This window comes from Homo sapiens, chromosome X (genome assembly GCF_000001405.40).
Source record: "Homo sapiens chromosome X, GRCh38.p14 Primary Assembly".
NCBI lineage: Eukaryota > Metazoa > Chordata > Mammalia > Primates > Hominidae > Homo > Homo sapiens.
The window spans coordinates 139,689,818-139,715,681 of NC_000023.11; the positions used below are offsets into that span (position 1 = coordinate 139,689,818).

Consider the following 25,864-nt stretch of genomic DNA (forward strand, 5'->3'; position numbering starts at 1 on the left):
TTCTGGTTGCCCCAGGGAAGATTCTGCACACACATATGTCATTAGCTTATTACTCTGTAGTATAATTTCTGGGCCTGAGCAATCCACAAATGGTCATTTTTGACGTGATTGTTCAGAAAGTTATTTACCACAATGAAAAACTTTGTAAACATATTTTAATATATAAATAGCTTCGAAGTATATGGAAATCCATTTTACATTTAAAATTGTTGTACTATAGTGTGTACTCTAATCACATGGCTACAAATCCCTTCCAGGGCAAATGCTGAAAAGGTACAAAAGTATTGCAAGCCCAGGTAAAAACACAGCACAGCAACTGGTGTCATTTAGGTGTTATGACACATTGTAATGCCACAGGAATGGGGGCCTGTCAACATGTAGGAGCCTTCAAAAGTGTGAACAGATGACACATCACACAACTCTAGAAATAAGAGAAATCACTAGCAGCAAAAATATCAACTTACATTTCATAGCATAACTAATTTAACCTTTGTGATTAAGCATGCATTCCTCCAAAGGAGTTTTTTTTTTTTTTTTTTTTTTAGCTCCCAAGATGATGCAGAAGGTAAATGAGAACAAAACGCAAAGTACTTTCCACTGTACTGCACGGAATGTTTCAGCAAGATTTTTTTTTGTAGTCTCCAAAAACTATTTAAATTGCTCTTAAGACCGGAACTAGTTTGTGCCCCATCACCACATTGCCCTTAATGATTTATTACATCTAGAAAATAATATAGACCAGCTCAAAACAAAACAAGCAAGACCAAAGAGTTCTGTGTGATGAAGATGCACAGACCACAGCCTTGAATTAATTCCTCTGGTCTAACTGAAGATGTTTGCATGGCCTCCTTTAGATTTGTGGATAGCACTGAATAGGGAGGTATATTTGGAACATGTGTTGTGGCTATCTGATTTGTGGGAAATTGCCACCAAGTCTATTTTTTGAATACCAAAACTTCCACTGCAAGGCTTAGAACCTACTAAGTCAAAACTACCTTGGGTGCACAGGAAGGCGCGCACATCAATTGCAGCACCTTGCAGACTTCTCTGAAAAGCTCTGGCTGAACTTCAGGTCTCAGAGTTGCACTCTGTTCTGAGGCAGCCCCGGTGCCCCAGTCAGAATGGCCCCATAGGAACGCAGCCCCACAGCCTGCAGCATCCTCCCTGCTACATCAACCCCAAAGCTGGGCAACTTCAGCTTGCTAAATGTGAGTGTATCACGACTGGCAAGTGACCAAGTCCATGTTACCCCACTTACTCCCCTTAATCAAACCATGGCAGCGGCCGTAAAGACTTTGTGAGTTACTTGTCTTTGCTTTTGTTTGTCCTTCCAGACAAACAAGAGCTTTTGCCTTTGTAGGGAAGCAACAAGCTCATGGACCAAGATGAAAAGATGCGCTTTTCTGGGTGCAAAGCCCAAGTCAGTGGCAGCAGCTGTTTCCCTACAACTCCTCCCCCACCTGCCCTGCCACGGCCCTGCTGCTGGTTTCCGAACCTGAGTGCCTTTTTGACTTGGTTTCCTCCACATGCGTTATGGGAAAAACAAAAACAAAAAAAAATTGCTTTTTCAACTTCAGGGAATATTACAAGGGAAGTGCACTCCTCAAAGAGGCTGGGTTCTGGTGTGTGAGATGCAGTGTGGGAAGATACACTCTATTCCCACTTCTCCGGGGACGCACCAAAGTGGGTGAGAAGGGGATAGGAGACCTGAACCAGCAATGGCAGAGACAGTTTCATACTGCTTCCTGCACTTTCCCACGGTCCTCCTGCGGGACCAGAGCTCCTGATCTCACCTCCTGCGAGCTGAGACCAGAGCTGCACGCCTGCAGCGCGGCAGCTGGCCAGAGGAACGGAGAACGGATGACCCAGCGAGTTCGTGGCTGGGAGCGCCACTGCAGCAGGAAAGTGTGTGTGTGCGCGGCGGGCGGGCGGGCGGGCGAGGTGGGGGGGTTGTATAGACTGGAAAATAAAGTGCGCGCGGGGAGGGGTGTGGACTGGAAAATAAAGAAAAGCCGGCCGGGCTGGGGAGGCAGCGGCTGAGAAGAAGGGCAAGCCAGCCCGAGGCCGCCGGGGAGGAGATGAGAGGAGGGGACTTACCTGCCACGAAGACTGCTTGCAGGAGGCAGAGGTAGTTCTTCCCGTACTTCTCGGCAATCCTCACGCGCTGCAGGGCCATGGCCATGTCCACCTGCAGAGGGATCGCCTGGGCTATCGGCATGAAAGTGCAGCCATCTGGGTTCTGGGGCAGGCCTGGGATCCTGCCGCAGGACACTGAGGTCCACGGCGCCGAAGCGGCAGCTTGGGGCATGTGCCTGGCCGCCCGCCTTGGCGAACCCAGGTAGGGCCGGGCCCCTGCCGCTGCCATCCTCACGCTGGAGAGCCGGGCAGGGCCGCTACTCCAGCCAGCAGCTGCCCAGCTCTGACCCGCGCGCCGCCGCTGGGCACTCAGGCACTGCCGGAGGGGTACAGCCCCTGGCCCCGCTCAGCCCAGCTGCGCCGCGGCCGCCAGTCCTCCGGAGCCCCCCTAGTAGGGACAGAGGCGCAGAGGCCCGAGAGCTCCGCGCGCGCGGAGTCCAGGAACTTGTTAAGAGTTTGGGGCTCTGGCGGAGCGCTCTGGCCCCCGCCGCTGCGAGGGCAACTCTCCCTGGGTGCGCACACCCACGCCCCCGCTTAGCCACCGGTGGATGAAAGGAGGCGGGGGCTGTGGAGGAGGGACGCAAGGAGCTAAAAGAGAGAATTTCTGCAGAGATTCCCATTTTCGAGGGACGAAAGGCCAACCTAGGCTAGCACTTGTGGTGGGAGGAGACAGCCCAGCCTCGCACTCTCATGGCAACTCATGCAAGTCTTGGCGGTTTCTTAGCATTCTGGCCAGTATCCACCTGGGCAAAGACTCGGCGCAAGGGAGTTACACTGTGTGAGCACATGCAGGTGGCCCTGTCAGGGCTGCTGTCTTTGCCCGAAGAGAATACTAGCCCTGAATAGTCTGAGAGGTCCTGTGCTGAAGCCGAAATATGTCCTCCGAGGATGCAAACAAACACACAGACATACTCTGATCTCAGTCTTTGGATATGCCAAGTCCCACGCCCTTCAGGTCCCAAACGCCAAGCCTCCTGTATAGACACTTGAGCTGCCATCTGCCATGGGCATGGGAGACTTGACACGCTTTAGAGAGGACACGAGAAAACGGAAAGGCAAGAGGAGGCAACCCGTTTAAGAAGCCAAATGGAAAATGAAAGGAGCTAGAGCTCCTTCCTTGCCCTGAACCCAAAGCACTCAGGGACTGGGCCGAGGGAAGATGGAGCTCCGCAGTGCCTGGAAGGAAAAGGGTATGCAGGACCTGAGGGAGCCCTGCTTGTGAAGCAGTAGCTGGCTGAGGAGAGGCCAGGGGTGTTAGCATTTAAAAAAAATGTGTGTCTGAAGCTGAGCTAATGCCATAGGGATTCGCCCCAATTTTGCTCTAATGCTTAGAAGTCCTGATGTGAATTGCAAATGCCACATCCCACTTTTTTCTTTAATACTTATCCTTTTCAAAATTTTCTGGCAGGAGAGTGGATTAATATTATACAGGCCAATCATTCCAAGTAGATCTCTTATGAGGAATCGCCAATTTATACCTGAGGAAAGTGGGGATAGGCAAGTGCAAAAGGCAGAGTGAGTAGGGGAGGAACACACACACACACACACACACACACACACATGTCCCCCCTACAAGCACACACCTCTTCCCCTAGCCTTGCTTTTTCAACTTCTCGGAGTTGATTTACATATTTTTATCTGAATGTGTAAGCTATTTGAATGTGTTAAGTCAACCAGGCAGAATGTTTGCCAGCCTCTCTCTTGAATATGTGCACAGGGTAGAGGAGCAAATAGTTAAAATTTCCGCACTACTGTGGGTAGTATGACATTAAGAATTCTACCAATGTGGCAGTTGTTGTAAAATAAGTTAAAAATAAATAAGACACAAATGAGGGGTAGTCTATAAAAGTACTAAATAACAACCTAGGAAGACATTTTTAAAATCTAACAATGGGAAAGAGTTTCCATAGCATAATTTAAAAATGAGATTGATCTGCATATGGACAGATGCCCTGCTATGTTGTCAAGTGTAAAAAAGTAAGATGCAAAACAATATTTATTGTTTGATCCCTTATTTTAAACACTATACATGTGTATGGGGATAGAAAATGATTGGGAAGGATACAAACTGCTACCAGTGTTGATCTCTGTAAAGTGAAATTGGAAAGCACTTGGTTATAGGAGAAATCTCATGTTTTTTGCCCAATAAGTAATTATGTTAAACTTTTTACAGTGAGCAACTGTTATTTTTGTAATTCCATTTTTTAAAAAAGAAGGAAATAAATGGAAAAATAACTTTAGGTTTAGAAAGCTATTAGAAACTTAACAATATAAAAGAATGTTTTCTACGTATGTGAAAAATACAAAAATCAAAGAAGAAAAAATTTAAACTTCTGTATAATTAAAAACATAAACAAAAGTCAAATCACAAATGGGAGGTTATTTACAAAGAAATAAGGTAACCAAAAAAATAATATCCTTCAAGGGATCGAGAATAGCCAAAACAATCTTGAAAAAAAAAAAAAACAAAGAGGACTCACACTTCCTGATTTCAAACCTTACTACAAAGCTGCAATAATCAAATCAGTGTGATACTAATATAAGGATAGACTTATAGATCAATAGAATAGAACTGTGAATCCAGAGAAAACCCTTGCATCTAAGGTAAATTATTTTTGACCATGGTGCCAAGACAATTCAATGGAGAAAGAATAGTCTTTTCAACAAATTGTGAACCTTAAAATATACATACCCTTTAACTTGAGGATCTCTCCTACAGAAATAATCAGAGGTTTTTGACAAAAGTTTGTATGCAAAGCATTATTAATTATAGCCCCAAATTGGAAGCAACCCACATGACAAACAATAGCAGATAATAAATTATGATACATCCATAAATGGATATCCATAAATCCATTATCCATAATGGATTTTATGGATTTTTTATCCATAAATGCATAAAATGGATTGTTAAGCATATCAGTTATCAAAAATGCCATTCCTTGTAGTGATGGAACTGTTCTGTATTTAATTCTATCAATGCCAATATTCTGCTTGTGATATTGTACTGTAGTTTTGCAAGATGTTACCATTGGGGGAAACTTGGTAAAGGGTATACAGGATCTCTCTGTATTCTTTCTTTTTTTTTTTTTTTATTGAGTTGGAGTCTGCTCTTCACCCAGGCTGGAGTGCAGTGGCACGATTTCAGCTCACTGCAACCTCTGCCTCCTGGGTTCAAGCAATTCTGCTGCCTCAGCCTCCTGAGTAGCTGGGATTACAGGCACGTGCCACCACACTGGCTAATTTTTGTATTTTTAGTAGAGATGGGGTTTTGCCATGTTGGCCAAGCTGGTCTCAAACTCCTGACCTAAGGTGATCTGCCCGCCTCGGCCTCCCAAAGTGTTGAGATTACAGGCGTGAGCCATCGCGCCCAGCCTCTGTGTATTATTTCTTACAGCTGCTTATGAATCTAGAATTATCTTTAAAAGTCTAATTTTTAAAATGAAATTATTGAAGGATTTTTAAGAACATGAGAAAATGATCATGACCTTATGTTGATTGACTTATCTGCATGCAAGATGAATATGTAGTATAATTTCAACTACATGCCATCTATAAGCATTGAAAGAATGCTGGAAAAAACATGGAGTGGATGGATAGATGACAGCCAAATATGAGAGAGGGAGAGAAAGCCTAAGCTCACATGAGCTCCTTCTGTGTCATCCATAAAATCATTAATTATGCAGTCATTGAAAATAATTACCTCTTCTCTGAAGTTTTGCTAGACTCCCTGAACCAAACACCTTCTTTCATGCCCGTTCATCCTACCTTTCTCAAGCTGATTCTTATCATGTGTTGCAATTGTTTGCAGGTCTATCACTCAGAAATATTCTGAGGCCCTTGATGCCAGAAGAAATGTCTTATTAAGCACTGTCTTCCAGGGCTTGGCATATAGTGGGCCCTCAAAATGTGGGTTACCTGAATGGGTGAATAAAGTAACAATGAGTGAACATCAGTCTTAATTTTACTGCCAACCCTTATTGGAAAGAACACTAACCTCAGGGTTTTTCAGGTCTGAAGAAAAAGATGCATAGCTGTAACTCAGTCTCTAATTTGCATAGCACATTCAGATTCATCTACACTACTCTATAATACAGTTTTTGGGGCCTTACAATGTAACTAACTCTTTTGGAAATAAGGCCCTTTGGTATTATTTCATTAATGCCCTTGGATGAAGTCTAAGGATAAACCAGCCTTATACCAAATTCCTCTCTCTAATGTGATGTGGTAAGGTGTTACACCATCTGCCTAAATCTTACCACTCCTGAGTAGGACACAGGGAATTTGAGTAAGAGGGAATACCCTCCCTCCCTTCCCTCCCTCCCTCCCTTCCTTCCTTCCTTTCTTTTTCTTTCTTTTCTTTCTTTCCTTCCTTCCTTCTTTCTCTTCTCTCCTCTCCTCTCCTCTCCTCTCCTCTCCTCTCCTCTCTTCTCATCTCGTCTCCTCTTCTTTTCTTTTTGTTTGAGACAGAGTCTTTTGTTTTTGTTTGAGACAGAGTCTTGCTCTGTCACCCAGGCTGGAGCGCAGTGGCGCAATCTCAGCTCACTGCAACCTCCACCACCCGGGCTCAAGCGATTCTCATGCCTCAGCCTCCCAAGTAGGTGAGATTACAGTTGCATGCCACCATGCCTGGCTAATTTTTCTATTTTTTTTTTAGTAGAGACGGGGTTTCGCCATGTTGGCCAGGCTAGTCCCCAACTCCTGTCCTCAAGTGATCTGCCCACCGTGGCCTGGAATATTATTTCATTATAGTAAATTAGGCATAGGTTTTGAGAAACCAGAACCTCTGAAATGCTGAAAATGGAGATAGGCAATAAAAGTAAAAATATCCTTACTACCTTTGATTTTGAGAGGTTCTACAGAATTCAGGAAGTCTATTGACATGTGAGGGGGTTACCAAATGAAAACTCCTCATTTATAGAATAAGGATAATAGCAACCTCACAATTTATATAAATTACTTAAGATTATATAAAGGACTATATCAAGTTTCAAACATTAGGTTCTTTGCCATGTATGCAGGGGACATTGGTAGTTTTTGCCTGCCTAGTTGGCATCTATGTACTTCAACATTCCCATGGAGAGTCTCCCTATTCCATTCTAAATCCATGTGACACAGATGAGACTTCCAGCAAACCCCTGCTTCAGGGCAGGAGGGTAGTCCAGGCCAAATAAATGAGTGTATTCTGTCCCCATGGCCACTGTGATAAGTTTGAAGCAATGATACACAATCCCAGTAATTTCTGGAACCAATGAAAGGTAGAGATTATCTTCACTGAATTGTTAGTTACAAAGATGAGGTAAACCTAAGGCCGCAAAGACAGGCTGCCTGAAAATGAAACCAATATCATGAAAACAGGGCTGATACATGTAAAGAGACAGATTCCTAATGATATTATTTGAACATCTGGATCCAGCCATGACTGAAGAAATATCCACCCACTAGATTTTTCAGTTACATAGATCAATAAATTTTCTTTTGTGCTTAAACTAGCTTACAGTTGGGGTTCTATCATTTGCAACCAAAAAAATCCAAACTAATACGTTATGATGAATACATTATAATCTAACTCCAGATTGGCATCATGGAGGCTTCTTAGATGTATGTAAAAATCCTGAAAAGTATGTTAAATGCAAGGGAGTCACTTTGACACCCTCAGCTAAGTAAGCCCAAAGAGATTGGTCAATGAATTGACCTGAATCCAGGCCCTGACATTGACTTGATGTTTACCCCTTCTCAGGAAATTCCTCAGAAATTTTATTCTTATATGTTGCCATTTATAGATCTTCAATTTGTTGCCATTTTAAAGGCCAAAACTTTCCTTTCAGAAGAAAATATTGTTTCAGAGGTAAATATGATTTCTGTTGTGCTTTAAAAGAAGTAGCCCCTTTAAAACTTGCTTTGGGTCAGACGCGGTGGCTCACGCCTGTAATCCCAGTACTTTGGAAGGTCAAGGTAGGAGGATTACTTGAGCCCAGAAGTTCAAGACCAGCCTGAGCAACAAAGGGAGACCCTGTCTCTATAAAAAATACAAAAATTAGCCGGGTGTAGTGGTGCATCCCTGTAGTCCCAGCTACTCTGGGGTCTGAAGTGGGAGGCTCACCTGAGCCTGGTTGGAGGTCAGGGATTGAGGCTGCAGTGAGCCACGATTGTGCCACTGCACTCTAGCCTTGGTGACAAAGTGAGACCCTGTCTCAAAATAAAAATAAAAATAAAAATCCTTGCTCTGTTCTGATGGCCAAAGGCTGTGTAAAAAGTTTAAGAATATTTCCAATGCAATTATACTTGTAATAGAGCAAACAACTACTTCTGTAAATGAAATGCTTTGAGTACTTGCTCAAACGATGATGATATATTGGAAATGTAAATGTTAACTGCTTGGGGCAAAATTAGAGTCAGGAATAGGAGTTTGGAATCATAACTTCCCAACTCTTTCTTTAATTTTTAGCTAGAACTGCCTCTTTCCACATTAGGCATGATGAGTTTAGGCTCAGTGAAATGGGAATAGCTTGTTTCTTTCTGAATTTCTGTGCCACCCAATCAAATATTTACTGACATGAATTGGGACTGAAGACTGCCATCTGAAAAGATGACCAAGTTAAACAGCTAGATGACCAAGTTAAACAGCTTGACCTAACAAAACTAGTTTTACCAGACTGGTTATATAGGTCACATGAAGATAAAAGTATAGGTAATAGACTCACGCTAAGGTCCATAATTGTACATATGACCTGGTTATTTCTCAAAAATATATATTCTTAGGCAACGATGACCAATAAGAAATGTACAAAGAGGACTTAGTATGTAAGACATGTTGTTTAGTTCATATAAGGACAAATTTAAAGAATCAAGTCTTTACATGATGAGCAGTTTACCATCTTAATTTGATATACAGTTGCTGTTACTACTAATAATTACAAAATTAATAATAAGTATACCATCTTCATTTGCATAATGTTTGTAAGCACTTTTTCTTCTGTCATCTCATTTGATCCTCCCAAAACATGTACAAGGAAGGCCCAGTTTATTTATTGCCACATTCCAGGTGAGGAGACTGAGGTTTTGAGGAGCTGAGTTGCCCAAGTTTGTGCCATTTGTCCAAAGCATAACTAGATCTAGACTGTAAGTTGGCTGACTCTAATCCTAGCATTTCTGAAATGAAAATAACCGTATCAATGAATTATAATTTTGCAGATCTGCAGCTTGTTAACATTACGCCAGAACAAAATTCTGTAATTCTCAGTCTTCCTCTGTCTTAAGGGAATCTTAGTGCTTTTAAAGCTTATAAAGTCTAGTCTCCCAATCAATGAAGAGATTCACCTCTTAGCAATTACTGTATCAATTTTAAGGATTCCAGTATTCCAGAGTATCATAGTTTTTATTGTAACAGCATTATTGAGATAGAATGCACATGCCATACAATTCTCCCATTTAAAGTGTACAATTCAATGGTTTTAATATATTCACAGAGATGTACAACCATCACAATCTAATTTTAGAACATCTCATCGTCCCCAAAAGAAACCTGTACCCTTTAGCTGTCACTTCTTAAGGCCCCACATCACCACCAGCCCTAGGAAACCACTAATCTATTTTCTGTCTCAATGGATCTACCTATTCTGGACATTTCATGTAGATGGAATCCTGTAATATGTAACTTTTATATTTGGATTCTTTCACTTAGCATGTTCTCCAGGTTAAACCATGCTGTAGCATGTATTAGTATTTCATTCCTTTTTAAGGCTGAATAATACTTCATTGTATGGCTAGACCATATTTTGTTTATTCATTCATCAGTTGATAGATACCATGTTTTTTAAATATAGAAATATTGAAACCCTGATATTTTAAAACTAACACGATATTTTTTCTCCTGAGAACGTTGTCATTTTCATCTGAAATCTAATCTTTGGATGTGCACAGAGAATATCCTGTATTAAAATTTCAAGCTAGAGATACACTCATTTTGAAAGTATTCTCAGGACAAACTTTCCAAGGCCTCTTATTGTTGTTGAAATAGCTAGTTCTGGGTTACTTGTGTGGTCGAGCATCTTTTTCTGTTTCCTAGTCATTTATGTGTTCTTTCAGAGTCTGTTTGTGTCCTTGGTCTTCTTTCAGAGGACCCTGATGGAATAAATTTAGACTAGGGTGTGGGCATTAAAATGGGGGCATGAGAACGAAGTTGTGATGGAGGATGATGAGAGGAGAGAATAGGTGCTGGGAGATTCTTAGGCCCAATTTCCAACGTTTTCCCTTTAACCTGACCACTTCCTTTTCTCTGGTTTAGGTTCCTTCTGCTTCCTTCCTCCTTTTCCATCCAAGCCAGATTTCTTTTCTTAGGAGCCTACCCCTCCTGTGATAATTTGTTCGACCCAGAATCTTCATTCTCAATCATCCTGTCTGGAGGCACTCAACCCAGAAGGACAGAACAGCCTCATCTGAGCCTCCCCCAGGAGGAACAGCACGTTATAATATTGGGAAGAAGAAGATAACGATATCTCCATTTTAATAGAATATTGATATTTTGGCATGACTGGAAATACCCTTGTAGTTGGAGGAGAGTTTCACCGCCACTGCCCATATTCAGACCAAGCCATGGATCCAGGGACCTTGGGGGTCCACTGAAACCCAGAGGTCTATAGCATTTGGGCTACATCTCAGTCACTGGCTCTGTGGCTGTTGCTATTTCAGACCTCTCCCAGGCCACTGTGGTTCTTCAGGATACAAAGAAAGACACTTCCTTCCTTCCCTTCCCTTCAATGTTTAAAGGCTGTTTCATGCAATAATTAGTCTGTGTAGTTTGAAATGGCAGATGAAACACACTATTTCCACTATTTTTGGAAGGTCAAAAGTAGATAAAGTCATGAGTAAATGTTCAGGGAACCCCAGCTTAGGATGAGGTGGGAGATAGGCTCACAGAAAGGAATATGGACCAAAGGGAAGCCTTGCGATTTGGAGACACCAGGTGCTGTGAAGGGTAGGAGTGAGGCTCATGCCTAAAAACAGTGACATTCATTAAAAGACTCTAATGTGGGAAAAGTCCCTCCTGCCTCCCCAGATCCACTCATTATCGAAGGACAGCACCCACACATAGCACATCCCCTCCTCCCAAGGGAGTAGAGACTTTTCAGGGGAAATTGAAGGCCCTCTGGAGGGAAAAACTTCCCAATCTGGTATTTAGGGGTTTCCCATTATAAGATTCTATACCTCCTCTTGGTCACCCTAAAGCAATGATTTCCAGTTGGCAATCTTCTCCTATAAATACCCCCACCAGTTTTTCTAGATCTCACCCTTAAATATGAACAGGCAGGCTAAGATCACCAAATGTTTGAGGTAAGTCACTGTGATGGTTACTTTTACGTGTCAACTTGGCTAGGCTATAATTAATCAATCAAACACTAATCTGGGTGTCGCTGTAAGGTTTTTGTAGATATGATTAACTTCTACAGTCAGTTGACTTTAAACAAAGGAGATTATCCATGAAAACCATAGCTCACCCAGTCAGTTGGAAGGTCTTAACAGCAAAACTAAAATTTCCCTGAAGGAGAAGAAATTCTGCCTCAAGTCTGAAGTGCCAACTCCTGCCTGAGAATTTCCAGCCTGCTGGCCTGCTTTATATATTTCAAACTTGCCTAGCCAGCACCCCATGATCCTGAAAATCAATTTCTTGAAATAACCACCTACCTACTACAAAAACACCCTTTCTCTGTCTCTATCTTTCTCTGCCTCTGTGTGTCTCACTCTGTCAATAGATTATACAGGCATGTATATAATGTATATAATACACAATTTAAAAATACACAAATACACAAATGTAAAGCACACACATAAGATTCTACATATACATGTACAAATTTTACTAGTTCTTGTTTCTCGGGTAGAACCCCAACAGACAGAAGTCACCAAATGCAAAAGAAGACCAAGACAAACAGTGAAAATGATCTGGGCCCTGCCTGCTTTGTCAAACTTAACCTTGTACACTTTGCTCCAACCGCGCTGGCCTTCTTGGTGTTCCTGGAACACAGAGTGCTTGTTCTTTTCTCAGAGTCTATCACCCCTGGGGCTGCCTCCCACTGCAATGGTTTACCTGGCCTGCTATCCAGATTGTATTCAGGTCTCTGTTCAAGTACTATCACAGCAGAGACATGGTCCCAGCCTATTCTTTAAAACAGACATCCCCCTACTCCCATATGCTCCATCCACTGAATTTTGTTCGTTCATAGCAATGACAACTTCCTTAAATAATATTATTTATTTGTATATTTACTAGTTTTTTCTGTGACAAGAAAAAAATGTCTACAACAGGAACCCTTTACGTCTTTTTTTCCCTTCATGTCAGACAGGTAATGTGCCAATGTTGTAACAAGTTTTGAGGGAGGCACATCTCACACATGTACATGAAAACCCAATCATCATGCTTATGAACTAAAGAAGGATCTATTCGTGTCTTGTTCACTATTGTGTCCCCATCACCTAACACAGTGCCTGGTCCTTTAAGAGTTGAAGAGATGATATATGGAAGGAATGATAAATGGAAAAAAAATCTCTGAAAGAAACAGACGTAGTTCAGGGAACAGTGAACTTTAAAAACAATGCTAATTGGTTACACACTGAAAGATTCAAATCATTATTATAATCCATAAACAATAACGGAATACTGTGAACAAAGAACAATTGGAGAAAAAGAAAGAGAGCTTTCAGACCTGAAAAAGATTGGTGAAACTTTAAAACTTCCACAGAAAAGTCCTAAGTTACCAACACAATGTCACTGAATACAAAATTGGGAAGGGAAGTGCAGAGCTGGCCCTCACTAGCTGGTTCGAGCCAATATCAGGACAACACTGATAGGTGCAGGTAGCTGATGTGGTAGACACTGTAATGTGCCCTTCGGATCCTCCCTCAGGAATGAAGGACTTATTACCCCATCTGTTGAGAAGGCTGCCAGATAAGTCTTTGGCTGTCAGCCTTATTCAGGGATTGCCTCAGCTGAAAAGAGCTACCTAGCCAAGGTCATAGCCCCTTCCAAAGGCATCCCACATTAAATGACTGAACAACTTGGGGTATCAGGGGCCAGTTCCCTGGTCCCAAATGGGGACCACTGCGGCAAATTATCCAATCTTCAGAACTTCTTGTAAGGTTGCATGAGGCTTCTGTCACGAAGCCTTCTTCCTTCTCTTCCCTGCTCTTCTGCATGTGTTAATCCCAGTAATGTGCCCTAATACACCTTCTGTATCTATTTTCTCTTCTAAGTCATGAATTGAAGTCATTAGATGATAGTGATCAGGAGAAGAGAGAGGAGTGAGTGTAGGAAATTTGAGGATACAAGGGAAGGGTGAAATTGTTATTTTAGAGTGAGAAATTGAGTTTCTAGCAAAGTATAGTGGAATTGTCTCAGTGTTGAGTGAGAAAAAAAGATAAGAGACATGAAGAATAAATTCAGGAGGTCCAATATCACACAGGAATCCAGGAGAAAAAAAGAACAGAGAAAATAGGAAAGGATAGGCTGGGCACGGTGGCTCATGCCTGTAATCCCAGCAATTTGGCAGGCCGAGGAGGGGTGTCACCTGAGGTCAGGAGTTCAAGACCAGCCTAGCCAACATGGTGAAACCCCATCTCTACAAAAATACAAAAATTAGCTGGGCATGATGGCGGGTGCCTGTAATACCAGCTACCTGGGAGGCTGAGGCAGGAGAATTGCTTAAACCTAGGAGGTGGAGGTTGCAGTGAGCCAAGATTGTGCCATTGCACTCCAGCCTGAGTGACAGAGCGAGACTCTGTCAAAACAAACAAACAAACAAACCAACAAAAAACAAAAAACACACACAAGGGAAAATGGGGAAGGATATTTCAAAGAAATAATAGAAGAAATAGAAAAAAAATTTCTGGAACTGAAGAACAAGAATATTTGTATTAAAAGGGCCTATCAAATGCAAAATGAGATTATTCAAAAATAACCACACTGGTATACATCCTTATGAATTTTGAAGTACACCACAGACATGAAAGAGAACTTAAATATTTATAGCTGGAAAGAAGCAAATCTGTTACAGAGGATCAATAGGCACAGAGAAAGCTTTCAATAACTTCCAACATCCCTTCATGATAAAACCCCTCAACAGACTAGGTATCAAAAAAAAACATACGTCAAAATAATAACAGCCATTTATGACAAACCCACAGTAAACATCATATCGAATGGGCAAAATTTGGAACCATTCACCTTGAGAACCAGAACAAGATAAGGATGCCCTCTCTCCACTCCTATTCAACATAGTACTGGAAGTCCTAGCCAGAGCAGTCAGGCAAGAGAAAGAAATAAAAAGCATCCACGTATGAAAAGAAGTCACACAATCTCTTTTCCTTGATGATATGAATCTATACTTAGAAAATTTTAAAGATGCTGCCAAAAGGCTCCTAGAAATTGCCTTGTGAACTTGCATATGATTGGCTTATAAATTTGGACAGCTTAAGTAAAGTTGCAGGATACAAAATTAATGTACAAAAATCAGTACCATTTCTATGCATCAACAACATCCAGGCTGAGAGTGAAATCAAGAACACAGTCCCCAAAATCTCAAAAATCACCACTAAAGAACTTACTCATGTAACAAAACACCACCAGTTCCCCAATAACCTGTGGAAATGAAAAATTAAACAAAAATAAAGAACACAGTCTCACTCACAACAGCCACAAAGAAAATGAAATACCTAGAAATACACCTAACCAAGGAGGTGAAAAGTCTCCACAAAGAGAACTACAAAACACTGATGAAAGAAATCAGGAATGACACAAATAAATGGAAAAACATTCCATGTTCATGGATTGGAAGAATCAATATCATAAAAATGGCCATACTGCCCAAAGCAATCTACAGATTCAGTGCTATTCCTATCAAACTGCTAATGGCATTCTTCACACAATTAGAAAAAAAAAAAACTATTCTAAAATTCACATGAAACCAAAAAAGAGCCCAAATAACCAAAGCAATCCAAAGCAAAAAGAACAAAGACGGAGGCATCACACTACCCAACTTCAAACTACACTATAAAGCCACAGTAAACAAAACAACTTGGGTGGCTGGGCACAGTGGCTCACATCTGTAATCCCAGCACTTTGGGAGGCTGAGGTGGCCAGATCACTTGAGGTCAGGAGTTTGAAACCAGCCTGGCCAACATGGTGAAACCCCATCTCTACTAAAACATACACAAATCAGCCAGGCGTGGTGGCGGGCACCTGTAATTCCAGCTACTGGGGAGGCTGAGGCAGGAGAATTGCTTGAATCCAGGGGCATAGGTTGCAGTGAGCTGAGATCACACCATTGCACTCCAGCCTAGGCGACAGAGTGAGACTCAGTCTCAAAAACAAACAAACAAACAAATAAAGACAGCTTGGTAGTGGTACAAAAACAGACACATAGACCAATGGAACAGAATAGAGAACTCAGAAATAAAGCTGCACAGCTACAACCATCTGATCTTTGACAAGGCCAACCAAAACAAGCAGTGGGAAAACAATTCCATATTCAGTAAATGGTGCTGAGATAACTGGCTAGCCATATGCAGAAGATTGAAGCTGGGCCCATACCTTTCTCCATATGCAAAAATTAACTAAAAATGGATTAAAGATTTTAATGTAAGATCTCAAACTATAGAAATCCTGGAAGAAAACCTAGGAAATACTCTTTTCGACATTGGCCTTGGTAAAGAATTTTTGGCTAAGTCCCTAAAAGCAATTGCAATAAAACCAGAAATAGACCAGTGGGACCTCATTAAACTAAAGAGCTTCTGTACAGCAAAAGAAACTATCAGCAGAGCAAACAGACAACCTACAGAATGGGAGAAGATATTTGCAAACTATGTATCTGACAAAGGTCTAATACTCAGAATCTATAGGGAACTTGAAAAAATTAACAAGTAAAAACCAAATAACACCATTAAAAAGTGGGCAAATGACATGAACAGGCACTTTTCGAAAGAAGACATACAAATGGCCAACAAATATATGAAACAATACTCAGCATCACTATCATCAGAGAAATGCAAATCAAAACCACAATGAGATACCATCTCACACCAGTCAGAATGGCTATTACTAAAAAGTCAAAAAACAACAGATGCTGGCTGGCAAGGCAGCAGAGAAAAGCAAACACTTATACACTGTTGGTGGAAATGTAAATTAGTCCAGCCGCTGTGGAAAGCAGTCTGGAGATTTCTGAAAGAACTTAAAACAATTCTACCACTGGACACAGCAATCCCATTACTGGGTATGTACCCAAAAGAAATTATTCTACCAAAAAGACACATGCACTTGTATGTTCATCACTGCACTGTTCACAATAGCAAAGACATGGAGTCAACCCAGGTTCCCATCAGTGGTAAATGGGATAAAGAAAATGTGCTACATATACATTATGGAATACTAGGCAGCCATAAAAAAGAAAGAAATCATTCTTTGCAGCAACATGCACGGAGCTGGAGGCCATAATTCTAAGCAAGTTAGTGCAGGAACAGAAAACCAAATACCACATGTTCTCATTTATGAAGGGAGCTAAGCATTGAGCACACATGGACATTAATATGGGAACAACAGATATTGTGGACTACTAGAGGGTGCAGGGAGGTGGGGAGGATAAAAAAAAAAACAACTATTGGGTACTATGCTCACTACCAGGATGACAGGATCTGTACCTTAAGCCTCAGCATCATGTAATATTCCCATATGACAAATCTGCACATGTACCCCCTTATCTAAAATTAAAGTTGAAAAAAAATGAAACAAAATGACATTGAACTTCTCAATAGCAACACTGGATTCTACAAACTAATGGAAAAATAAACACAAAATCAGGGGGGAAAAGGTTTTTCAGCTTGGAACTTTATACTGCGTCAGACTCTCAAACAAAAATAAAGGTTGTCTAAGATATTTTCAGACATAATTATTATTATTATTATTATTAATAAAAGTTTATAACCCATATAAAGAAGTTAGTAGAGAATGTATTCCCCAAAAAAATGATGAAGTACATCAATGAAGAGCAAGACAATGAATCTAGGAAATAATGATCCGATACAGGAGCACAGACAAAGGGAATTTCAGAAAGAGATGTGCAGCTAGCCGGCAGAGTAACCAGCTCAGATGAAAAAAGAAGGATGGAGGGCTCTGGGAGGGAGCTGCTCCCATCCCTTTCTACCTCTTTCTCACCAAGTTTGGTGAGTTTTCCTTAGGATCTTTTTGGGCCCCTCAAGCAACTTTCAAGAACCTTGCATATCAGAGAAAAAAAGGGTTGGAGTTTCCAATCCTTTCATTCTGAGAAGACCTCTAGGTTCTTCATATAAACAGTCCCACTCCTTCCCCAGAAACTTTCTACCTCCACAAATAAATACTATAGAGGCAAGAATAAAATGTGGTTTTGCCTCACTAGAGACCCTGCTTTAAAAAATGTGAGAAACATCACCATATTCTTTTGGAAGATTGCCCTCAAGACCTCCCATTTTTCTTTGCTCTCCAAGTCTACATCCCCCCGGCTACCTTCTGGGGACCAAGGTAGTTCTTCTTGGTCTGGAAAATTTGCGTGCTTAAAAAGAACTGGACACAAATAATGGAATGGTCTTTTACCCACTGAAAATAAATAATCTGCTGTCCAAATTTATAAGCCAACCATATGCAAGTTCACAAGGCAATTTCTCAAGTCCTAATCCCTAGACGGCTCAGAGACTGAGGCCCATACATTGCATAGGAACCACACCAAGGTACAGCCATCCCATGAAGCCCAGGTGCACACCAGATTTGTTATACTAATAGTTCCAGGTTTACAGTGGTGAAGTTCTAATCCAGAGTTGAGAAATTCCCACCTGCCTTTACTTGGGAATCCTAATTATTTTAGAAAAAACTGAACAGTAGACAAAGAACTGTCAGAGAAACCCAAAGCAGGCTATTGCGGTCTGTATGGACAGATACACCTTTACAAGAACTGCACTGTGTCCTGCAAATCATTGGTCCTAGAAATGGGGGATTCTGGGGAAAAGGGGAAACTACTACAAGAATGAAAATGACTGGCTATGGGGGATGCTATCTATAAAAATATTCCAAGACTGACCCACTCATTGCCCCAATCCATTTCTTATATTACTCTAAGGTAAAGAAATACTTACCACAAATGTTTGTCCTTAAGACTGTCGCAGCTCATTCTGTTTCCTCGGCCAAAAGAATGTACAATACTCTCTGCCTGCTCCAAGAACAAAAGCCTTCTTGCTCTTAACATGAAAAAAAGTTTCAAAGCCAATCTGATGTCAGCAACTGAAAGTGTAGAGAAGCCTTGACTTGAAGTAGAACCCAGAAACAAAATTATAAATCATACACTGTATCACAGTAGAGGAAGGAGACCTAATTTTTTTTTTTATTTACAAGGACAAATCTGGAGAAACAGAACGCCCACTCAAGAGTTAGCCCGACAGTTTGAAAACAAAATACTTCTGCACAAAATGCAGAAGAAGCTGGGCATATCTTTTTTTGTACACGACAAATAAAAATTGTATGGTGTACAATATGATTTCTGATGTATGTATACATCCTGGAATGGCTAAATCAAGCTAATTAATACTTTCTTTACCTCACATATGTATCCTTTTTGTGGTGGGAACATGTAAAATCTACTCTCTTAGCAGTTTTCAAGTACACAATATATTGTTATTAACTATAGTTATCATGATGTACAATAGGTTTCTTGGCAGGGCGCAGCGGCTCACACCTGTAATCCCAGCACTTTGGGGGGCCGAGGTGGGTGGATCACTTGAGGTCACGAGTTCGAGACAAGCCTGGCCAACATGGTGAAACCTCATATCTACTAAAAATACAAAAATTAGCTGGGTGTGATGGCGGACACCTGTAATCCCACCTACTCAGGAGGCTGAGGCAGGAGAATCGCTTGAAGCCAAGAGGCAGAGGTTGCAGTGAGCTGAGATCACACCACTGCACTCCAGCCTGGGCAATAAAGTAAGACTCCATCTCAAAAAATATATACAAATAAAAATATGAAAAAAAATTTAAAAATTAAAAAATAGATCTCTTGATCTTTGTCCTCCTGTCTACGTGTAATGATGCATCCTTTGACCAACATCTCCCAAAACCCTGCCCCATCCTCTGGAAACCACCATTCTACTTTCTACTTCTATGAGTTTGACTTTTTTAGATTCCCCATAGGAGTGAGATCATACAGTATTTTTCTTTCTGTGTCTGGATTATTTCACTTAGCATAATGTCCACTAGGTTCATCCGTACTGTCACAAATGACAGAATTTCATTCTTTTTTAAAGGCTGAATAGCATTTGTGTATATATAGTATAGTATATATAGCATATACTATATACATAGCATATATAGCATATACTATATACATAGCATATATAGCATATACTATATACATAGCATATATAGCATATACTATATACATAGCATATATAGCATATACTATATACATAGTATATATAGCATATACTATGTATATAGTATATGCTATATATACTATGTATATAGTATATATAGCATATACTATATACATAGCATATATAGCATATACTATATACATAGCATATATAGCATATACTATATATACGAATGCTATTCGTATATATATACACTATATAGACACGAATGCTATCATTCATATATATATATATATATATATATATATACAGTATATATAAAAAATATTTTCTTGAGGTTGCTTCCATATCTTGGCTATTGTGAAGAGTGCTGCAATGAACATGGGAGTGTAGATATCTCTTTGACAGACTGATTTCATTTTCTTTGGATATATACCCAGTAGTGGCATTGCTGGATCATATGGTAATTGATAATATGACCATAAATGCCTGGATTTTTTCTGGGCCAGAACATTCATACTGTTTTCCATAGTGGCTGTGCTAATTTACATTCCCACCAACAAGGGCTCCCTTTTCTCCACATCCTCACAAGCACTTGTTATCTTATGTTTTTGATAATTGCTACCCTAACAGGTGCAAAATGTTATCTAAATGTGGTTTTAATTTGCATTTTTGTGATGATAAGTGATGTTGAACATTTTGTCATATACTGGTTGGCCATTTGTATGTCTTCTTTTTAAGAAATGTCTACTCAGGTTCTTTGACCATTTTTAATTGGGTTATTTACTACTTTTTGCTATTGAGTTGAGTTCTTTATATATCTTGGGTATTAACCACTTATCAGATGTATGGTCTGTAAGTATTTTTCCCATTCCATAGATGGTCTTTTGACTCAGTTGTTTCCTTTGATGTACAGAAAACTTTTTAGTTTAATGCTATCCCATTTGTCTATATTTCCTTTTGTTGTCTGTGCTTTTGGGGTCATATCCAAAAAATCTCTGCCTAGACTAATGTCAAGAAACTTTTCTTCTATGTTACTTATTTTGAATTGACACATAGCAAATACATACATATGTATATATATATATATATATATATATAAAATTTATGGAGTGCAGTGTGATGTTTTAATACATGTATACACTGTATAATGATGAAATCAGGGTAATTAGCATATCCATGACCTCATATATTTGTCATATCTTTGTGGTGAGAACATTCAGTTTGAGGTCTTACCTTTAAGTCTTTAATCCATTTTGAGTTGATTTTTGCACATGGTGTGAGATGTGTCTAATTTCATTGTTTTGCATGTGTATATCCAGTTTTCCCAACACCATTTATTGATGAGGCTGTCTTTTCTCCATTGTGTGTTTTTGGCAACTTTTTTGAAGAACAGTTGACCATAAATGCCTGGATTTATTTCTGGGCCAGAAGATCTTTAAGGTATGTCCCAACCTTAATATATGTAGATAAAGGTAAATATATATATCCAGAAAAGCTTATTAAAATACTATCATCCTTACTTGGTTCTTTTTTGTATGTTATCTATATAATTGAAAATGGACATGCATTTACTTTACAACAAGAAAATATAACACATATTTTTAAAAGATACCAAAAATAGAAGTGATCCTTTTAAAACTTAAGTGAGATTATGTCACTCCTCTGTTCATAATATTCCAGACTTCTACTGGAATTCAGAATCAAATCTAATGTCCTTATCATAGTCTACACAGCTCTACATGCTCTCATCCTTCCATACCTAATTTCAACTCCTACCAATCTCCCTCCATTTTGGTCACAGTGACCTCCTGGCAGTACCTCCAATATGCCATGAAAGCTCCTATCTTGGGGTCTGGGCATTTGCTGTTCACATGGCCTGGATTCCCCTTCATCCATATATATGAATGGCTCCCTCTCTCACTTAATTCAGTTCTCTGCTCAAATGTCACCTTGTCAGAGAGAACTTCTTTTACTACCATATCTAAAGTAGCACCTGCTATCATTCTCGGAATATTTGCTTTGATTGCATAAACACTAAAACTTTCTGTGCAATATAAAAGATACATTCTTAATGATTAATTGACACAGAGAAAAATATTTGTGAAATACATGACAACATGCACATATTCTAATATACAGAATTATAATGAGTAAAAAAGGTGAGCAACTTAATAGGACAATGGGTGAAGGAAGTGTAATTGACAAAAGAGGAAATATAAACACCCACATGTACATGGAAAATCTATTGGAACTCACAAATAAGCAAAGAAAAGCTAATATTACCAAGAGTAAACACTATTTTTCCTTTAATCCAGGAGTTGGCAAATTTTTTTTTCTGTAAACAGCTAAGATAATAGAAATGTCCCCCTTTGTGGGCCACATATAGTCTTGGTCAGACATTCTTCATTACCTTTTTTTCCCTACAGCCCTAAAGATGCTGACTGGGTTGCTGACCCCAGATCTATGAGGAATGATTAAAGATGGAGAGCACTTAATGCTGAGAATGGGGAGGGTAAACTGGCTGACTGTTGTTGCGGGCACAGATTCATATAGCTTTTCTCAAAGACAGTTTGTCATGTACATATCTTTTGCCCCAGGAATTCCACATTTTTGACTTTACACCAAGAAGCTACTCGGGCAGGAATGGAAATATTTTTGTACAGAATACATTGCCATGTTATTCATAATAGCAGGCAAGAGGAGGAGGAGAAATTTATATAATAAACTAGGAAATAGTTAAACCATGTGCATGAAATAAATGAAATGCCACACAGCTATTTAAAAGTCATATATATATGAATTAATTTATATAGAACAATCATACGACTTTTTATGGTTTAAAATTATAGTGTGTATAACATAGTTCAATAGATACAAAATTATATATGTATATATGTTGTGTATATGTGTATATATACATATACATATTCAAAAAAATATGGTTACCTCAGGGGGGTTGTGATACTAAGTGACTTTTATGTTTATATTATTAGGTATTGCTTGATTTTGAGCAAGTATCGTCAGTATAATCAGAAAAAAATAAAATTCTTATTGAATTTAGCAAAACCTCAGGTCAATTAAAATGGACTTTTGCCTGAAGTGCAACAGTTTTCTAAACTTATTCTTACAATATAATAATGCAAGATAGTTTTCACAATTTGAACAAATAGTTTTTATGGGTTTTGTTTGCTTTCTGGTTTGTTTCTTGTACCAAAAGGACAGAGTTACTTGTTAACTTGTCTTAAAAATATTCTTTTGGGAATTCTATGATTTATGCATTTTAATCTCTGCCACCTCTTTTCTCCAACTCTCTGTGAACACTCATTGGCACCATACTGGTGTGATATTCCCAACCCAGGGCACAGAGAGTGGAGGTACAAGAAAATCACCCCACTGACCACTGTACAAGAGAAGCTAGGGAGTGGAAGAGTTGAGAGGAGAGGGATAATGAAAGGCATCCGAGAAAGTGCTCACTCAGAAAACGCACAGGGAACTTGTGTTCCCACATCGCTGTCTTTAATTTGCAGCCAAGCAATACTCAGTTACTCTATCATGGAAGCTTCCCATGTTTGAAAATGAAATTGTAAGTGAACAGAGGCATCAGAGCCCTGGTGTTAGGCACAGCACTTCACTTGTACCGTGTTTCACACAAAAGAACAGCTGTTATGGATCCACAGTGCAGATTTCAGTATCAACCAAAAAGGGTTCGCTAACAAAGTTACAACAGGACTTCAGATTAAAGCTGGTACATACGAAATGGGAGTACAGTACTAAACTGTTCAAACTTGCTACACTTTTATTAATAAAGATTTTATTTTTTATTTTGTCACTTTTTGTAAAACACGCTCATTGTGGAAGACTTGCAAACTATGAAAAAGCATAAAGAAACAGAAAAGCGAACCCTAGCCTTAAATTGCATCACTCAGTGGCAACCACAGTTAACATTATGGCTTTTTTTTTCAGTCATTTTGAGATCATACTGTCTATGATTTTGAATACGTATTTTTTACTAAGCATGAAAGCATACTCATTTCCCACTGACAATAGCTTTTTAATAAGTGTGAAGACAAACATGTCTAGGCTTTCAATATCAAAGTAGTGTTGAAATAAGGTTAACAGATTACAATTGCAGAATTTGTTCTTTCATACCTCTATTGTTAAAAATTCCAAATATGAGAGGACTTCAAAAAGTTTGTGGAAAATAAAATTTAAAGATAAAAATTAAAATATAAACTTTATTTCTAACATAAGCTCCATAAAGATGAAGATACTTTGGTAAATGATGATACCAGCCATTTAGGAAAGAGATGTCAATTTAGTCTTTTTGATATTATTAACAGAAGAAAAACGGGTGCCCTTTATAGATTTTTAAGATTAGGAAACAAACAAACAAAAAAAGAGTCAGAAGGAGCCAAATCAGGACTGTGAGGTGGATACCTAATGATTTCCCATTAAAACTCTCACAAAATTGCCCTCATTTGATGAGAGGAATGAGCAAGAGCATTGTCATGGTGGAGAAGGACTCTCTGGTGAAGTTTTCCTGGGCATTTTTTTCTGCTAAAGCTGTGCCTAAAGATGTGCTAAAAATGTTGTCGTTCTTTGGCCCTCCAGAAAGTCAGCAAACAAAATGCCTTGAGTATCTCCAAAAAACTGTTGACATGACTTTTGCTCTTGACTGGTCCACTTTTGCTTTGACTGGACCACTTCCACCACTTGGTAGCCATTGCTTTGATTGTGCTTTGTCTTCAAGATTGTACTGGTAAAGCCATGTTCATCTCCTGTTACAGCTGTCAGGATCTTGATCCCATTTGTTTGAATTGCCATTGAACACTCTGCTGCAGCTGATCTGTGTGCAATGGTTTTGGCGCCCGAGTGGAAAGTTTGCCCAACTTTAATTTTTCAGTCAGAATTTTGTAAGCTGAATCAATTGGGATATCTATGGTGTTGGCTATTGTTTCTTCTGGGAATTGTTGGTCCTCTTCAATTACAGTGCAAATAAATTTTTTTCCTTGCAGATTGATGTAGATGGCCTGCCACTGTGGGCTTCATCTTCAACATGCCTTGTCCCTTCTTAAAACTAGTTACTCATTTATAAACTGCTGATTTTTTTTTTTTTTTTTTGAGATGGAGTCTCACGCTGTCACCCAGGCTGGAGTGCAGTGGCGCGATCTTGGCTCACTGCAACCTCCGCCTTCCAGGTTCAAGCGATTCTCCTGCTTCAGTCTCCCGAGTGGCTGGGATTACAGGCCTGCACCACCATGCCCGGCTAAGTTTTGTATTTTTAGTAGAGAGGGAGTTTCACCACGTTGGCCAGGCTGGTCTCGAATTCCTGACCTCTGGTGATCCACCCACCTTGGCCTCCCAATGTGCTGGGATTACAGGTGTGAACCACCACACCTGGCCCAAAACACTGACATCTAAACACTGGACTAGGCAGTGATTTCAATCAAATGGTCAGAAGATTTTTCATCGTCAAAAGTAGAATCTTTGGGGGAAAATATTCAGTGTGCCATCAATGAACACTATGTTACACACACCTTTTGATGACACATCAGTGATTGACATGAAAGTTAAAATTGCTATCCAAATTTTACACACATGGTAACTTTAAGGCATGGGAAAAAACAAGATAAAAATTTGTCATCCCTTTTAAGTTCCAAAATTATCCAATAGAACAGATAATTTAAACATCAGGAAAAGGCTTTTTTCAAGCTTCCAGAAATATTGGCAAATTGCATAAATAAGCTTTGCCTAATATTTTTGTCATTTATGATGTATTCTTACTTTATTTTAAAAAAACACTCCGAAGTCTTCATATCAGCTTCACCTATTAAATAATGGTACCATTCAATTAAAATGCAAAGCAAAGTTATACTTAGATTTCAGTAGTACATGTTCATCTTTAAAGGTTATAATTTGTTTTAAATAGCAGAGCCATCTGTCCTATGATAGCTCACATGAGCCTAATTATTGGAGAAGTCTAAGAATTTCTCCTGCAAATATGCATCGTGCTGAACTGTACTGAAAACATATTTGACTCTGATACTTCTATCTTACGAGGAAATTACACTCTCAAGTTGATTCTTTATATGAATTTAGTATTGAACTCAATATTACATTCACTATTTTTCAGTAGTGTAAATCACTAATGTCTGCCACCTTCTACATTAGCTATCATCTATTATGTGTTCAAAAAGCAGTTATTACTTCTAGAATTTCCTCATTCATGATTGCTGGCTTGTTATTGTAATGATTATACCTTTAGTTCTTTCCCATAGACAATTTTCAATATAGAGTTGTGTAATTTATTGCAGGCAAACGAAGTTATTTATTTGGAATTGAT

The 25,864-nt window shown here is 39.5% G+C and overlaps 1 protein-coding gene and 1 non-coding gene across 8 annotated transcripts in view; both read right to left on the bottom strand.

The window, feature by feature from the left end:
• Window positions 1-18,350, bottom strand: part of MCF2 (MCF.2 cell line derived transforming sequence) — a 126,398-nt gene extending 108,048 nt beyond the window's left edge. For 3 of the 7 annotated variants that reach the window (XM_047442112.1, XM_005262413.5, XM_017029529.2), the window contains exons 1-2: window positions 18,289-18,350; window positions 2,098-2,188 (exon numbers count right to left, since the gene is read on the bottom strand). In XM_047442112.1, coding sequence (XP_047298068.1) covers window positions 2,098-2,182 — 85 coding nt within the window. In that variant the 5' untranslated portion in view covers window positions 2,183-2,188; window positions 18,289-18,350. Of the gene's footprint in view, window positions 1-2,097; window positions 2,189-5,904; window positions 6,055-18,288 lie in introns of those variants that run through there. The other 4 variants (NM_001099855.2, NM_001171876.2, XM_011531339.3 and 1 more) reach the window with 3 other exon arrangements.
• On the bottom strand, window positions 12,470-12,573 carry LOC124905269 (small nucleolar RNA U13). Its single transcript, XR_007068433.1, has one exon. It is a non-coding gene; the product is annotated as a small nucleolar RNA U13 (small nucleolar RNA).